The 17,350-nt window shown below is 41.0% G+C and overlaps 1 long non-coding RNA gene across 2 annotated transcripts in view, besides 1 other annotated feature; it reads left to right on the top strand.

The window, feature by feature from the left end:
- LOC153910 (uncharacterized) overlaps positions 1-17,350 on the top strand; it is a 111,435-nt gene that overhangs the window by 70,589 nt on the left and 23,496 nt on the right. The gene's annotated exons all lie outside the window — the stretch shown is intronic.
- Positions 15,734-16,235: an enhancer, noted in NCBI's record as "H3K4me1 hESC enhancer chr6:142872203-142872704 (GRCh37/hg19 assembly coordinates)". NCBI's record gives its function as "activates a minimal SCP1, AML or CMV promoter by ChIP-STARR-seq in primed H9 embryonic stem cells {active_cell/tissue: H9 hESC(primed)}" and the evidence as "EXISTENCE:reporter gene assay evidence [ECO:0000049][PMID:30033119]".

Here is a 17,350-nt window from a genome sequence, read left to right as displayed (position 1 = left end):
TCATAAAAATAGGACAAAACAAACAAACAAACAAAACACACATCCATGGAAAGTTGACCTATTATGCAAAATGTCCAAGAGGCATAATGACTAGCAGCAACGGCAACAGAAAATGTTCTGGTATCTGTTCTCACTATAGTTGAATTCAGACAGTCACGATAGGGAGTGAGGACTAATACTTAATAATGAAATTAAGAAAAACATGACTGAGGCAGGCAGTCTAAGCCAGGGGTTGGTCACATCTGGAAAGAGGAAAATTTCCCTTTTTGGGACTAGGGCCAAGGCTGCCAGTGTCTCTAGGCTGCCCTCTCGTGTTCATTTCTAGCACTGCATGATCTTTTCCAGACCTCTCTCGCAGAGTTCTTCTAGGCCTTGGAAAACAAGACTTCTCTACATCCCATTGCCTTCCTGCCCTGCTCTCTTCTGTTAAATCTGACAAGCCAGTGGTTTTCAAATACTTTTAACCGTGGACTCCTTTCTTCAAACAGCTGTTCATGCAGAAGCCCAGTCCATACAACAGAAGAGAGAGAAGTAGAGCTGCTTAGCATGGGGTGGGGGTGGGGCCTGCAGACACATGCATTTGGCCGCCGCCTAGAGGCTGTCCCAGGGAGCACAGTTGCGCCACCTCTGTCATCAAGTCCCTGTACCCCTGGACTCATGTTAGTCATCTTACGGGATATATTTGCATTTAAACAAAGCCATCTGGAAAAGGATACACGTTCATCAGAACTCTTTAAGTTGGAATTGATAGAAACGTAACTCCAGCTAATTAAAGCAAAAATGAGAATCTTTTGCTTAGGAATTTTGAAGATGCAAAGGTGGGATCTGAGATAGGACCAGATGCAGATGCTCAGAGGATGTAAATGGGCAATTGTGTCTTTTTCCTTATCTCAGGTCTTTGTTATAATTTGTATATTCGTAGACTTTATCTCCTATAAGGTCTCCCAACAAAGCTGGGAAAGATGCCCTCCAGGTCTGTTATGGTAGACATAGCCGGACTCTCAAAAAAAAGACAGAACATCTTTTCCTCTTTGGTAGAATCTTTGTCCTTCCTTCATGGCCCCTCCCAACCCATCTAAAAGGACACCAGATGTCTCTGGTGAGGACCTGGGTCCATCACAGCATCAGGTACTGAGCTATGTGTTTACTCCCAGAGGACTGAGTCCCACTGGGAATGAGCGCATTGGCAATGCTTCCTATTGCAGAAAATTCAACTTTCTTTTCCTTTTCCTTTTTTTTTTGACAGGGACTTGCTCTGTCGCCCAGGCTGGAGTGCAGTGGTGTGATCTCGGCTCACTGGAGCCTCCACCTCCAGGGTTCAAGCGATGCTCCTGCCTCAGACTCCTGAGTAGCTGGGACTACAGGCGCCTGCCACCATGCCCAGCTAATTTTTGTATTTTTAGTAGAGACGGGGTTGCGCCAGGTTGGCCATGCTGTCTCGTACTCCTGACCTCAAGTGATCAGCCTGCTTTGGCCTCCCAAAATGCTGGGATTACAGGTGTGAGCCACAGCGCTGGGCCTTTTTTTTTTTTTTCTCCTTTTTTCTTAAAGAAAGAGATCATTTAAAGTGAAAGCCAAGTGGGGATTCAGGTTCCAGAGGCCCACACCATCATTAAAGCGGCAACTGTGTTTCTCCGCTGTTGGTTCTGCCTTACTCCTCCTGTCTGCTTTGTCCTGTATACCAAAAATAAAATTCTAAGTTCCCCCAACCATCTGAATGGACTTCGTCCTCAGCCAAGGCACTCTTAAAATTTAACCTGCAAGACTAGCTCAGGCCATGATGGGAAGTAGGGGTGGTCATGCCTCGTTATACCTCTCTGGCATTAATATCAACATGGAATTCAAGTGTGATAAGAGTCATTTTACAACTTATTCTTTCTGAAGCCTACTACCTGAAGGCTTCCTTTGCAGATAAGAACTCTGGTCTCCACAATCCTTTATCTTAACCCAGACACTCATTTCTACTGATCCCAGATCTTTAGATAAATAAACGTATTGTCAATCAGAAAAAATTTAAATCTACCTATAAACTGGAAACTCCCCACTTTTTAAAATCGACTTACAAGCTGGAAAGCTCCACCCCCACTTTGGCCTTTCTGGACCAAACCAATGTATTTCTTAAATGTATTTGATTGATGTCTCATGCCTCCCTAAAACCAAGCTGCACCCAGACCACCTTGGCCACATGTTCTCAGGACCTCCTGAGGCCTGTGTCATGGGACATGGTCACTTATATTTGGCTCAGAATAAATCTCTTCAAGTATTTTACAACACAAAAATATTTGTTGTCAACAGTCTGCAGACTAACTTCACCCAAGCTAGTGAGATGGCTGCGGGGAACTCCTAGAGCCATGTGTGCTCTTACTCATGTTATCTAGTAAGAGACCTGGACATTCCCCTGACTAGATCAACTTAGCGAATGTGCACAGCCCTCAGTCCATCACTGCTGCTGGGGACTGGGAGGTGACCGACTGACTCACCTTCATGAGGTTCTGCTCCTGTGGCCAGGGATGGCTCAAGGAATAGGACACTTCGAGTTTGAGAATTAAGGGGTCATGGGAAATGGACACCCTGCCCCCCACTTCAGTGAGGGAAGTCAACTCCCCATAAGGAATTGTATCGATCAGTATTTCACCAGAAAAGCAGAATTACCAGGATATAGAAATCCAAGAGGATAGATTTTCTGATTCTTATTTTGTGAATAAGGAAACCAAGCTTAAAGGACTTGAGTAATTTATCCAAGGTTGCACGGGCACTTCCACTGCAGAACCCACTCCTAAGTCCCCTCATCATGTGCCCTTCTGTGTATCTTCTTTATTTTATTTTATTTTATTTTATTTTATTTTATCTTTTATTTTATTTTATTTTTTCAGGCAGGGTCTTGCTCTGTCACCTAGGCTGGAGTGCAGTGGCCCAATCATGGCTCACTGATTCCTCGACCTCCCAGGCTCAAGCAATCCTTTTATCTCAGCCTCCCGAATAACTGGGACTACAGGCATGTGCCACTACACCTGGCTTACTTTTTTGTATTCTTTTGTAGAGGGGGGGTTTCACCATGTTGCCAAGGCTGATCTTGAACTCCTGGGCTCAAGCCATCTGCCTGCCTAGTCTTCTCAAAGTGCTGGGATTACAGGTGTGAGCCACCATACCTGGCCCTGTACACATTCTTAATCAAGCCCGCCATTCTCCAAATGTCCTGACAGAAATGAAGTCTTGAGCTCCCTGTAGAGGAGATCATTGTAGGCACATTTTTGCATGTGTTGTGTCAATTTTGAGGAATATCCATAAGCCTAGAAAGCCTTGGGAGCCTTGGCCAGTTTTTGAATGGAGGACCTGGGTGAGGAACCTATGAACTTCAGGAGCAGATCTTCACTGAGGGTTTTCCATCAGATCAGAGCAGGGAGCATTACCAAAGGGAAGAGGACAGATATAAAATATTAGCAAGACCCCTGAATATCCAAAAGAAATACCTGGATTGGCAAAATAGCAAGAGCGACCTGCAGGCGAGACAGCAGTTACCAGCTGTTTTTCAGGAAAAGCGAGTTATGCATCCCCCCAGGAGGCTGCAATTCCCCAAACCCAAGGCAGCTCAACAGTACATCTGTGGCTTCCTTAGGTTTCTCCACTCCACCTCTCATTACTGTGTTTGCCGTCTAGGTTGTTCCCCAGTTTCCTGGGGTTTATTTATTTATTCATTTATTTATCTTTTCTTTTCTTTTTTTTTTTTGGAGATGGAGTTTTGCTCTTGTTGCCCAGGCTGGAGTGCAATGGTAAAATCTTGGCTCACTGCAACCTCCACCTCCCCAGTTCAAGTGATTCTCCTGCCTCAACCTCCTGAGTAGGTGGGGTTACAGGTGCCCACCACCACGTCTGGCTAATTTTTTGTATTTTTAGTAGAGATGGGGTTTCACCATGTTGGCCAGGCTGGTCTCAAACTCCTGACCTCAGGTGATCCACCCACCTCGGCCTCCTGAAGTACTGGGATTACAGGCTTGAGCCACTGTGCCAGGCCATTCCGGGGTTTATTTCTGCATAATTACTTTGTGATCCAAATAGTTGATTAGAGACTATGCAGTCAGTCCTTTCTTTGTCAACATGTTATCCTTGCTGCTGCCAAATACGACAGATTATTAAAAATTAAAATGCCTGCAATGGTAGCATCTAAGATAAGTTTCAGGGCCGTGACAGTGACATAATGAGAAAGACATGTATGTCCACGGGAAAATGTTACCCCACTGACTTCCTCTTTTTCCACCAAGACACTTTTTAGTTGGTGTCCCAAGTGTGAGACTGCTCAGAAGACCCTGAAAGATTCCTGACTACACCTCTGGGGGCTGATGGGAGTGTGAGTGTGCATGTGTGTGCATGTATGCATGTGTGTCGAGGAGCCACTGCCCCATGTCCTTCTCACTCCACATCCACTCCCCCTCATCAACTCCACAGATCCATCAAATGCAGAATCAGCACAGCACATGCTATAATCTGAATATTTGTACCCCTTCCCAAATTCATATGGTAAAATCTTCATGCCCACCAAGGTTATGGTATCAGGACGTCTGGCCTTTGGGAGGTGATTAGATTATGGGGCAGATCTAATCATGGGGGTGGAACCCTCGTAAATGAGGTTAGTGTTCTTATAAAAGAGACCTCAGAGGCCGGGCCGGTGGCTCACACCTATAAGCCCAGCACTTTGGGAGGATGAGGCGGGTGGGTCTCTTGCGGTCAGGAGTTTGAGACCACTCTGGCCAACATGGTGAAACCCCGTCTCTACTGAAAATACAAAAATTAACCGAGCATGGTGGCATATGCCTGTAATCCCAGCTACTCAGGAGGCTGAGATAGGAAAATCGTTTGAACCTGGGAAATGCAGGTTGTAGTGAATTGAGATCACGCCACTGCACTCCAGCCTGGGTGACAAAGCAAGACTCCATCTCAAAAAAAAAAAAACAAAAAAACAAAAAAACAAAAAAAAAACACCAAAAACAAAAACCCAGAGAGATCCCTCTTCCCTGTGAGAATAGAGGGAGAAGACAGCTGTCTATGAGGAAGCAGGCTCTCACCAGACACCAAATCTGCTGGGGCCTTGATCTTGGACTTTGCAGCCTCCAGTACCGTGAGAAATAAATTTCTGTTGTTTAAAACCCACCCAGTCTATGGTATTTTGGTATGGCAGCCTGAACAGACTAAGACGGCACATTTCAACTGTATCAGAAACCTTTCTGAATAACTCTTAGGTATTTGAGAAAGCTTGTGTTGTCATCTGTATGAGCAATGGTAAACATTATTTGTGATTTTATGAAGAGTCACGTAGAGACTGCCTAAAGAAAATTAAACAGAAAGAGGTTCTTGCCCATTAAAAAAAATTCTTTTTCCTCCCAAAAGAAATCTTGACCAAGGTAAGTTGATTCATAGACAGGAAGAGAACTCTCTATCTTTTCCATATCTTATCTGTTCCACCTGCACACAAAAACTAATGATTGGTTGTAAATGGTTAGCTGATGCTTCTGTATTGACTTGTGGTTTGCAGCAGCCTTATTTCCTTTGCTTTGTGACATCATTTTCCTCTTCATTTCCCACAGTTGCATATGTGGGTTTATGTGATGCACACTCACCCAACAAATGGAAGAAATTATGTACCATGTTGGAGAGCTTTCAGGAATAGAATTTGGAACAAAGAGGTCAATACTTTAAGCATCATAAAGTAAAAAGGATGATGAGATAACTGATGAAGCATGCTTCCTAGCCTGAGATGAAAGAATCCTGCTCACTGAATGTTTTGAGTGAATAGTAGGGGTTCTCTCCATTGCCCATGGTCTTCCTGCTCCCCAATATACACTTCTAGGTTGGTGGGCATGTTGGGTTGCTGGGCAGAAGTTTATCCCACAATGCCCAAAGTGTTGATCAGGATTGAATAGCCACCAAGAAAACTCATTTCCATCAGCAAGAGAGAAGAGTGCTGCTTTGAGGTAGTGTGGTTTGAATGAGCCATAAGAAACCCTGGAACTTTAGGGTACTGCTGCAATTCCTATGAAGGTGGAAAAGGTTTGGGATGTTCTATTTGGCCAAAAAGTCTTCACACTGGAAGCTGCTTCCCAAAGTAGCTTTGGCTGACTCTAAAATTATAATCCTAAGAACCTCCCTCCCCCATGTCTCTGAGAGCAGCTTGGAATTTCAAGAGAGTGTCAGAAGTGCTCCTGACTGATAACTCTTATACCAAAGGAAGATACCAAGAGCGGTACTTCTGCTGACTTTTTGTGTTATGAGGAGCCCCTCTGGTAGTTGCTTACTGAAATTCTCTGCCACACTATTGGTGTTTCAGCTTGATAGTGAAAAATAAGGTACTTTGCAGTATTTTATTCCTGTTTGATGTCATTCATTTCTCATGTTCTTCATGCATGAAATGGTGCACATGCAGCAATGAGAAACACTTACACATTGAACTCACCACTTTACATTAAGCCCATCATCCAAGCAATTTTCACTCAGCACTTACCTGACTGTAGAAAAGGGTAAACTCATGGGCAAGGACTTCATGTTTAAAACACTAAATGCAATGGGAACAAAAGCCAAAATTGACAAATGGGATCTAATTAAACTAAAGAGCTTCTGCACAGCAAAAGAAACTACCATCAGAGTGAACAGGCAACCTACAATATGGGAGAAAATTTTCGCAACCTACTCATCTGACAAAGGGCTAATATCCAGAATCTACAAAGAACTCAAACAAATTTACAAGAAAAAAACAAACAACCCCATCAAAAAGTGGGTGAAGGATATGAACAGACACTTCTCAAAAGAAGACATTTATGCAGCCAACAGACACATGAAAAAATGCTCATCATCACTGGCCATCAGAGAAATGCATATCAAAACCACAATGAGATACCATTTCACACCAGTTAGAATGGCAATCATTAAAAAGTCTGGAAACAACAGGTGCTGGAGAGGATGTGGAGAAATAGGAACACTTTTACACTGTTGGTGGGAGTGTAAACTAGTTCAACCATTGTGGAAGACACTGTGGTGATTCCTCAAGGATCTAGAACTAGAAATACCATTTGACCCAGCCATCCCATTACTGGGTATATACCCAAAGGATTATAAAGCATGCTGCTATAAAGACACATACACATGTATGTTTATTGCAACACTATTCACAATAGCAAAGACTTGGAACCAACCCAAATATCCATCAGTGATAGACTGGATTAAGAAAATGTGGCACATATACACCATGGAATACTATGCAGCCATAAAAAAGGATGAGTTCATGTCCTTTGTAGGGACATGGATGAAGCTGGAAATCATCATTCTCAGCAAACTATTGCAAGGACAAAAAACCAAACACCGCATGTTCTCACTCATAGGCAGGAATTGAACAATGAGAACACATGGACACAGGAAGGGGAACATCACACACTGGGGCCTGTAGTTGTGTGGGGGGAGGGGGGAGGGATAGCATTAGGTGATATACCTAATGTAAATGACGAGTTAATGGGTGCAGCACACCAACATGGCACATGTCCACATATGTAACAAACCTGCACATTGTTCACATGTACCCTAGAACTTAAAGTATAATAAAAAAAAGAAAAGGGTAACCTCTTTTTTGCAGTCTAAGTTGTAGTTCTCAAAAGGGTATATGAAATAAGTCATTTTGTTTTTACATGGCATCCACAAAGACTCAGGGACATTAGAGTCACATGGGATACAGTGATGTTTGGACATGGTTATCAGCAAAGTTATCATTATACTCTGGGGAAACAGCAGTAGAAATGAGAAAACTAAAGATTTAGGCCCCAACCTACTGGTATATTTAAATATCTTCAGGGGATTCAGTTTTCAGTATTTGTGACAGTGCCTGGCATACAGGAAATGCTCAATAAATAAATATCTATTGCATGGATGCCTACATGAATTCTTAGCCTGGGCAGAGCCTGGGAGGACTCTTTACAGCATGGATTGTGATACTCCTGCCTAAGAGAGCAGACACCCCCGCCGATAGAACAAATGCTGCCTCGACAGAGAGTGAGGGCAACTAGATGCATGGGAGAAGAGCTTTGTGGTTACACTGGTCCAGCTCTTGAATATGGCCCTTCAGAGTCTGGTCTTACTCATCTATAAAATGGGATACGTCATACAAGACTGAAGGAAGTATTAAGTAGAGTCGCTATAATTGTGAAAGTATCTAGTATACTCCTTAATACTGTTAATGCTGTTCTGTGGACTTTCCATATGCTATTTTGGACACTTGGACAAAGATCAGTGCATCACCATAATTGAGGGGTGAAAGAATAAGAATAAATATTTGCTGAGTGTTTAAAATATATGTTAGGAATGTCAAATACTATCTTCTGTTTACAAAAACTGTGAGATAATTGTCTGTGAATTATACAGATTAGTTGAGCCTCAAAATAAACAATATATCCAGCTAGTAAATAATGAAGCCATAATTTAAATCCGTGTCTTTCAGATTCCCCAGTTTAGGCTCTGTTCTCTGCAACATGATGCTGCCTCCCTACGGTTAGTGCAAATTGGGTGAGAATAATTCAGAGCTGTTGAGTTTTTCTACTTTAAGCATCCAGTTGATGTAACATAATTATCTGCTTGTTCTCAAGAACCTCACATGTAAAAATGGTCTGGGCAAGCCTTGTATCTAATGTCTAGTACCCTATGCAAATTAATTTAAAATCAATTCTTGTCTTCAAGAAGTCAAATAACAACTCACATTTCTAATTCACTAACACAATTTTTCTCTGGTTTGAGTAAATTTCTATTTTAGCATTTCTTTGAGGTATGGATGTAATTTAATTTATTTTTTCTTTTTTTGCATTATTTTAAGTTTGCTATCTTTCCAGAAGCCCCTTCTCATGTTTTAGGGATGAATGAACCACATATGAATAAGTATAGTATTATACATACGTACACGTGTGTATGTATGTATGTATGTACAGAAGTGAAGGAGCTTATTCCTATGACTCCATTCCTCTTGTAGATGAAATGACCACAAACACATCTGTGTGTGTAAGACATACGTATGTATGGATGTATTAATTAGGGTTCTTCAGAGAAACAGACCAATAGGAGAGAGAGAGAGAATGAAAGAGAGAGATTTTAAGGAATTGGCTCACACAGTTATGGAGGCTAAGAAGTCCCATAATCTGCCATCCACAAAGCTGGAGAATCAGGAAAGCCAGTGCTGAAATTTTAGCCTGAGTCCAAAGGCCTGAAAACCGGGAATGCAGATGGTGCAACTCCCAATATGAGTTTGAGTGCTTGAGAACTGGGGGAGCCAATGTCCAAGGGCAGGAGGCGATTTTTGCCCTAGCTCAGACAGAGAGAGTGAATTTGCCATACTCTGCCTTTTTGTTCTGCTCAGGCCCTCAAGCATTAGATGACGGCCAGCTGCATTGGTAAGGGCAATCTTCTTTACTCATTCTGCTGATTCAAATGCTAATCTCTTCTGGAAACACCTTCAAGACACACCCAGTGATTTTTGTTTTTTGCTTTTATTAATATTTTAAATTGACACAAAATAGTTGTACATATTTATGGGATACAGTGTGCTATTTCAATACATGTATGCAACATATAATGATCAAATCAGAGTAATTAGCATGTCCAATCACCTCAAACATTTATCATTTCATTGTGTTGGGCATATTTGTAATCTGCTCTTCTTGCTACTTGAAAATATACAAATTTATTTTAATTGTAGTCATCCTACAGTACTGTAGAACTCTCGAACTTATTCTTCCTATCTAGCTGTAATTTTGTATCCATTAAGCAACTTCTGGATATCCTCTTCCTACTTCAACATCCTTCCCAGTCTCTAGTAACCACTTTTCGACTCTCTATGAGATGCTTTTTAAGATTCCACCTGAGTGAGAACATGCAGTATTTGTCTTTCTGTGCCTGGCTTATTTCACTTAACATAGTGTCTTCCAGGTTCATCCACGATGTCATAAATGACAGCATTTTGTTTTTTTTTATGACTGGATAGTATTTGTATATATCACATTTTCTTTTTGCATTCATCTGTTGATGGACATTGAGGCTGATTCCATATCTTGGCTATTGTGAACACACTTCAATAAACATGGGAGTGTAAATATGTCTTTGACATACTGATTTCCTTCACTTTGGATATATACTCCATAGCGGGATTGCTGGATCATGTAGTAGTTTTATTATTAGTTCTTTGAGGAACCAGTTCCTATTTTCCATAAAGATTGCACCAATTTACACTCGCACTAACAGTGTATAAGCATTCCCTTTTCTCCACATCCTTGCCAACATTTACCTTTGTCTTTTTTAATAATAGTCTTTCTAAATGAGATGAGGTGACATCTTGCTGTGGTTGTGATTTGCATTTCCCTGATGATGAATGGTGTTGAGCATTTTTTCATACACCTGCTGGCCATTTGTATATCTTCTTTTGAGAAATGTCTATCCAAGTCCTTTCTTCACTTTTTGTTGGGATTATTTGTTTGTTTGTTTGTTTGTTTGTTTGTTTTTGCTGGTGAGTTGTTTGAGTTCCATGCATATTCTGGTTATTAATCTCTTATCAGATGAAGGGTTTGCAAATATTTTCTCCCATTCTGATGGTTGTCTCTCCATTGTGTTGATTGTTTCCTTTGTTGTGCAAAAGGTTTTAGTTTCATATCATCCCATTTGCCTATATTTGCTTTAGTTGCCTGTTCTATTGAGGTCTTCTCCATATAATCTTTGCCCAGAACAATGTCCTGAATCATTTCCCTGGTGTTTTCTTCTGTTAATTTCATATAGTTTCAGGTCTTACATTTAAGCACTTAATCCATTTTAAGTTGATTTTTGTTTATAGTGAGAGATGGGGGTTAGATTCATTCTCCTATATATGGATCTCTAGTTTCCCCAGTACCATTTATTGAAGAGACTGTCCTTCTCCCAATGAATGTTCTTGGCACTTTTGTCAAAAATAAGTTGCCTATAAATATGTGGATTTATTTCTGGGTTCCTAGAAATAATGTTTTACCCACTATATGGGCATTCCTTAGCCCAGTAAATGTGGCACGTAAAATTAACCATCACAATGTATATATGTACATATAATGTGTATATATGTCAAGTATATATGTGTGCACATATATCATATATATGATATATATGTAGATTGAGTACATCATATATATATACATTCTATATTGCATTATCAACAGGATTAATGTAAAGCAAAGCGTTATTTTTAAAACTTTGATTTGCCTCATGAGTCTTGTATCACTCTTGTGGCCACCCAACATAGAGTTTTTCTTTCTATTCTGTTCCAACATGTACATGAGTGTTAGAAAAAATAATCATGAGCACTTCCTGAGAAATTGCTTTTGAGTGTCAACTGTTATCTCACAACATGCACTATCTAGGATTCAACCTCAGAAAAATTCCTCTATGTTGCTACCTTTAAAGACTTGAGAAAATATCCTCCCTAATGGTCTGGGACTTCATAATGCACAAATCTTATCTTTTTGAAAACATGGGTTCATCTGGTTGTTAACATCACATGTGTCTCCAGGCAATGTGCTGTCAGGCTGCTGAGCCAGTCTTCCTGGTTGTAGGCCCATTGAGATGACTCTTGCATCCTGGGTCAGTGGTCTCTCATTTCAAAGGCATAACAGGTCTTGTCAAACAAGCTGAAGAAGAGAACTGCTGGTTCTGATCTGTCTGATAGTGCAACTCCTCAGTCTGAAATGAAGAGCATATAGGGGTAAAGACTGGCATAAAATGGCTAAGATGAGGTGGTTTCCATGTGCCCTCTGTCCCATTGTTCCTCATGTCTTTGGCTTCTGTAGAAAATGAATGCCAATTGTCCAGAGTTCCAGTGTGAGGGAGGGAGGTGACAGTGATGACATGCCAACAGTGTAGTCTTTTGGGTGGACAGTTCAGTGAGCCTTCTATTTTCTGTTATAAAAAGGGCCCTAGAAGCTACCACAGAGCCATCATTACCGCTAACACATGTCTACACTGAACAGTACCACTGCCTTTCTTCACTGTCCCTCATTTACTATCATTTCTGGGAGGATTTTGACAACTGAGTTTCCCATTGGATTACTAAGCAGGAGTTTTGACACTACATTGGCCTCAGGTTTGTATCAACACTACCCCTTTATATGATATATATTTTTCAGAATCTTTTATTTGATTATTCATGAGTCAAAACAAACTAAAGTTGTCTGCTTATAATAGGATTTCTTTTTCAATTGCTTCTTTTAGAGATGGAGCCAGCTGGGGCGGTTTTGAGGTAGATGGAACAGTAAAGAGTAGACTGCAGCTGATTCAACTTCTCTTCTGTCCAGATGAGTATGAATCTCAGAGTGAAGGCTAGACTTCACGGTCATCATCATCAAACAGAATTTGAAGCACTCTTCGCATATGGTTGGAATGAGTGATCATAAAGCTCAGCTTAGTGTTTCTGAGAGCTTTTCGGGTCATGGGGGTTTGTCTGCATCTTACCCTATGTCCAGCACAATGAGAGGTCAAAGACAGATTGGTCAGGCTCGTTAACGAACTTCTAGTACAAACTAAGGCTTCTCAAACATTTTTCAAATCATGCAAACTTAGAAAATGATAATATTTTATGCTATTTGGACAAATGGATAAAGATGCCATTGCCACTGGCCCAGGAACTCAGGGTCCCACATGACTGCTATAAGGGCCAAGGAAAGTACTCCTATGGCCCATTAATGGCACAGCATTGCACATTTGCCTGCCAGTTGAGAAGCACTAATTGAAATTATATTGATGGACCATAAGTGTACCTGCTGACAAAATTCTATTGCCTATATGATATTTGAAATATTCCCTAAATTAATGATTGCATTTAAATATTCAACAAATGTTAAATTCCATTGTTGACTGTTCTTTGTGAGGTATAGCAGCTCAGTTAACCCTGAAGACACATAGATATTACAGGGAAGTGGGAAATCTGTCACAAAACATGTCAAGGTTTTGTTACCACTAGATGCCTCTAAAGCCATGGGCCCACTGTTTTCAGAGTAACCAGAAATTTGATAGGACTCTTTCTGCTTAGGTACCTCCAATAAGATAAATCCCAATCAAATTCAAAAAGTAAATCAAATGGTTCACTGGACATGGTGGCATGGGAAGAGACTTGTAGGGGAGGTAGCTAGATAGTGTTGTCCAGGGTTTTTTCAGATTATAGCAGCTCTTAGTAACTTTTTTAAATGTTTTTTAAATGGTAAGCATTAATAGTAGACTCAAGCCCCACCCTATAAGAGAATATTGTACAAGGATGTTCCTCAGAAGAAGTTTAATGTCTTCAGTCAACCGTGGCTGCTGTAACAAAATACCATTAACCGGGTGGCTTATAAACAACAGAAATGTATTTCTCACAGCTTTAGAGGCTGGGAAGCCCAAGATCAGGGTGCCAGCATGGTTGGATTCTGGTGAGGGTCCTCTTTTGGGTTGCAACTTCTCTCCGTGTCCTCATGAAAGAGGCAAATAAACTCCCTCAGCCTCTTTTTACAAAGGCACTAATCACATTCATAATGGCTCTATCTTCATGTCTGAATCATCTTCTGAAGGCCCTACCTTTTAATATCATCATCTTGAGGGGGTAGAATTTTAACACAGGGATTTCAAAAGAACACAAACATTCCGACCATAGGATATAATATTCTCGTCCTTCAAGATAGGAGTCTGGAGTCACTTCCTCTTCAAGGTTTCTTGCTATGCTTCCCCAGAATCCTCCTTCTGAAGGAAGCATCTTGTTCTTCCTTTAATCCCCGCCCTTCCTTAGTTGTACGGCTGTTGATTTTTCAGAGTACAAAATCCTTAAAAGCTGGGTGGAAGTCTTATGCATGTCTAAATCCATAACATCTTGCAAGAACCCAATAAACTAGCAAATAAATGAGTGATAGATAATGTAGAGTATGAAATTTGGGGGAAAATTTAGTTTGATACTATGTAAAATTCATTATGGAAAATAAGCTGGTCTAATATATTAGATATAAGCTGCTACCAATTTACAAACATTGCTTTCTAAAAGTTTATTTTATTAAGTCACTTGTGGAGAACTTGGAAAGTGTTTCTTGGAGAAACATTCTTATGTGTGGTGAGTAGGTTCCCATCCAAACTATAAACGTTAATGTAACTGCGAACATCACCAAATCATAAATCATAAGACTCACATAGCAAGCCTAAAATCTGAACCTGGGGAGCAGGAGGCTCAGAATGCAGAAATGAAGTCCAAAGGTCTGTCTGCTGTCATTTGTGTAGGTTGGCCCTTGGAATTATTTTGGAAAAAGGAATATTCGATAGTCTCTTATTTGTCTATAAATCAAAAAGTATCTGAGCCAGGACTTAATTAATTTAGAGGTTTATTTTACAAAGTCAAGGACCATGGCCTATGACACAGCCTCAGGAGGCCCTGAGAACATGTGCCTAACGTGGTCGGGGCACAGCTTTGTTTTATACATTTTAGGGAGACAGAAGTTACAGGCAAAGATACAAATCAATACATGTAAGGTATACATTGGTTCAGCCCAAAGCAGGATTGAGGTTGTTGCAGGGAGGCTTCCATAGGTGGATTCAAAGATTTTCTGACTGGCAATTGGTTGAATGAGTTAAGCTATACCTGAAGAGTTGAAGTCAGCATAAAGAAATGCTTGAGCTAGGATAAGAGGGTTATGGAAGCCAAGCTTCTTATCATGTGGATGAAACCTCCAGGTAGCAACCTTCAGAGAGAATAGATTGTAAATATCTTAAATGTCTTTTATCTGACCTTAAAAGGTGTGACACTCTCCAGAAAAGACCTAGTAGGGGAAAGGAGAGCCATTTCAAAATATGTCAAAAAACGCATTTTGGAGTAAAATACTTTGATTTCCCTCAGGGACTGCTATCTATCATGTGACGCTATACCAGAGTCAGGTTGGAATTTTGTATCTTATTGCTGCAAAGTGTCTGTTTTGTCAGTCTATGATCTTTATTTTATATTAATACTGGTCAATTGTGCCTAAACTCCTAAGGGAGGAGGGCATAACAAGGCAGGAGTGTCTATCCAACCGCCCTTGCTGTCTTGGCCTGAACTAGTTTTTCAGGTCTCTTTGGGATCCCCTTGGCCATGAGAGGGTCTGTTCAGTTGGTTGGGGGCCTTAGAATTTTATTTTTGGTTTACATAGCTTAGGACATTATTTTGCCTCACCCCAGATCAGTCCTATTTCCTAAAATACTGCACTTTAAAATATAAACCCTTTAACCCCAGTCATAACACGGATTTTCTCACTGAACAAGATCTCAAGTATGCAGAAGACAAGCTGATCGCAACGAATCCCAAAAAAGTGAATGACTTATTCATGAGATGCTTGCTTTAAGTGGCGATTGAGGTTAATCCTCTAAGCTGCTCTTGATTTCCACAGATTTTGCCTGGCTTTGAGCATCCACAGATCCTCTCAATGTTCTCTTATTTCATTCGGACTTTCCTGGAAACAGAATGTGAGTGCTACCTTTAACCTGGCAGGAGTGACCTTCTGTGTCTTTCCTGGATCATTTATTTATAAGCCACGGATGGGCAAGTCTGGTACTGTCTGTGCTCAGGAAGGCTGACTAATGCTCCTGCCCCAAGACAGCGCAGGAATGCAGAACCCTGAGCCTTCAGAAGGCAGCTCCTGCCACGCCTGCGACAGCCTAGGGGACCGGGGAGCCACCCTGGGGTTTGGAGGCTTGAGGTAATGACACACAGCCGCCTGGCTGTGGTTACCAGCTGCTCTGCCAAGGTTGTACAGCTGGTTGCCTGTATGTTGGAAGATGCCGATGCCCCCTGCTGTACCCTGGGTTGCCAAGGGGAGCAGCAGTTCCAGTGGGTTTTAAAAAGAGCACAGTTTATCTTTTCTCTGAGGAAGCCTTGTTTCTTTGCTTGCGGCAGGTCCCTCTCAGCTCAGGTTGTGGTTATGTACGTGTTGTATACTGAGCCATCTGTCTTCCTGAGGAGCAGGGCTGATTTGTATGGAAGGCTATATAGACAGTGGTTAGTGCTGACATAACTTGGATTTTGCTTCAAACTTGAACTTCTAGAATATTCTAAACTGTGTTTTCTTCTTTGCATGGGCAAGCACTCTGTGTGTCTTTTTTTCTTCATTTTTGCCTGGAGTGTTTGTTTACCATAAAGCTGTATAATACCATACACATTTCTTTAACTCTTTTAATCTCCTCAAATGAAGATTGTTTTTGCCTTCTATTCAGCTTCTCTCCCTACAGCTGCCATAAGTTCTTCAAGTTTATGCTTTTATTAAATATTTAAGCACATATTTTCAGGGATGAAACATATTCTCCGCTCAGAGCTGTGCTAGCAGATGTATCTCTTCTGCCAGTGGGGAGCTGGGTTTCTGGCAGGCTTATGAAGTGACCTCACGTAATTAGTGGGAAATAGAGAGATGTGAGGCGTTATGTTATTTGAAGCTTCAGACTGGCCCTTATTCCTAGAAGGCACTTGGAAGTCAGCAGCAGTGTAGGGATATGCAATTCCAGGGTCGGCACCACAGAATTAAAGTGAAATGAATAATACATGCCGATTTAAAGTGAAATGTGTACCTCCTGAAAGAAAATGGTGACATTTACATTCTTGCCACCAAGGCAAAAATCTTTTATTCAGTGAACAGGCTCCTGCAAGTAAAGTTTGCAAATGAGAACTTCTTTAACATTCGTATGGAATGGTCTAACCCCCATTAATTGTTTATGGAGCACCTGCCATGTGCTCAAGCTGGTTGTAGAGAGGAGCTGGTTTCAGAAATAGCATCAAGAATGGCCTCTGTGACTTTGCCAGAATATTGAGGGCTGAATCCAAGCCTGTTAGATAATGTTTCTTCTGAATCCTGCCCTTTCCCTGACCACAACTCCAGGGCAAGTGGTGCTATCTTTTAAAAAGAAAAGTACGCACAGAAGATGTATTAGGCAGGGTTTCCAGAGAAACAGAACCAATTTAGTTATATACAGTTAATCCTTGAATAACATGGGTTTGAAGCTTATGGGTCTGTAGATTTTCAAAAATAAATATATTGGAATTTTTTTGAGGTTTGCAAAAGATTGAAAAAACTCACAGATAAACTATGTAGCCCAGAAATATTTTTAAAATTAAGAAAAATTAGGCATTCATGAATTCTATTCTATTTATGTGTTAATTGACTGTTTATGTTATTAGAAAGGCTTCCAGTCAACAGTACACTATTAGTAGTTAAGTTTTTGGGGAGTCAGAAGTTATATGCCGATTTTAAACTGTGCAAGGGATTGATACCCCGTTATAACCCCCGGGTGGTTCAAGGGTCAACTGTATCTGTATCTCTACAGTTGACCCTGGGGAAAA

Source organism: Homo sapiens, chromosome 6, assembly GCF_000001405.40.
Source record: "Homo sapiens chromosome 6, GRCh38.p14 Primary Assembly".
Taxonomy (NCBI): Eukaryota; Metazoa; Chordata; class Mammalia; order Primates; family Hominidae; genus Homo; species Homo sapiens.
This window is presented reverse-complemented; position numbering and strand designations above follow the sequence as displayed.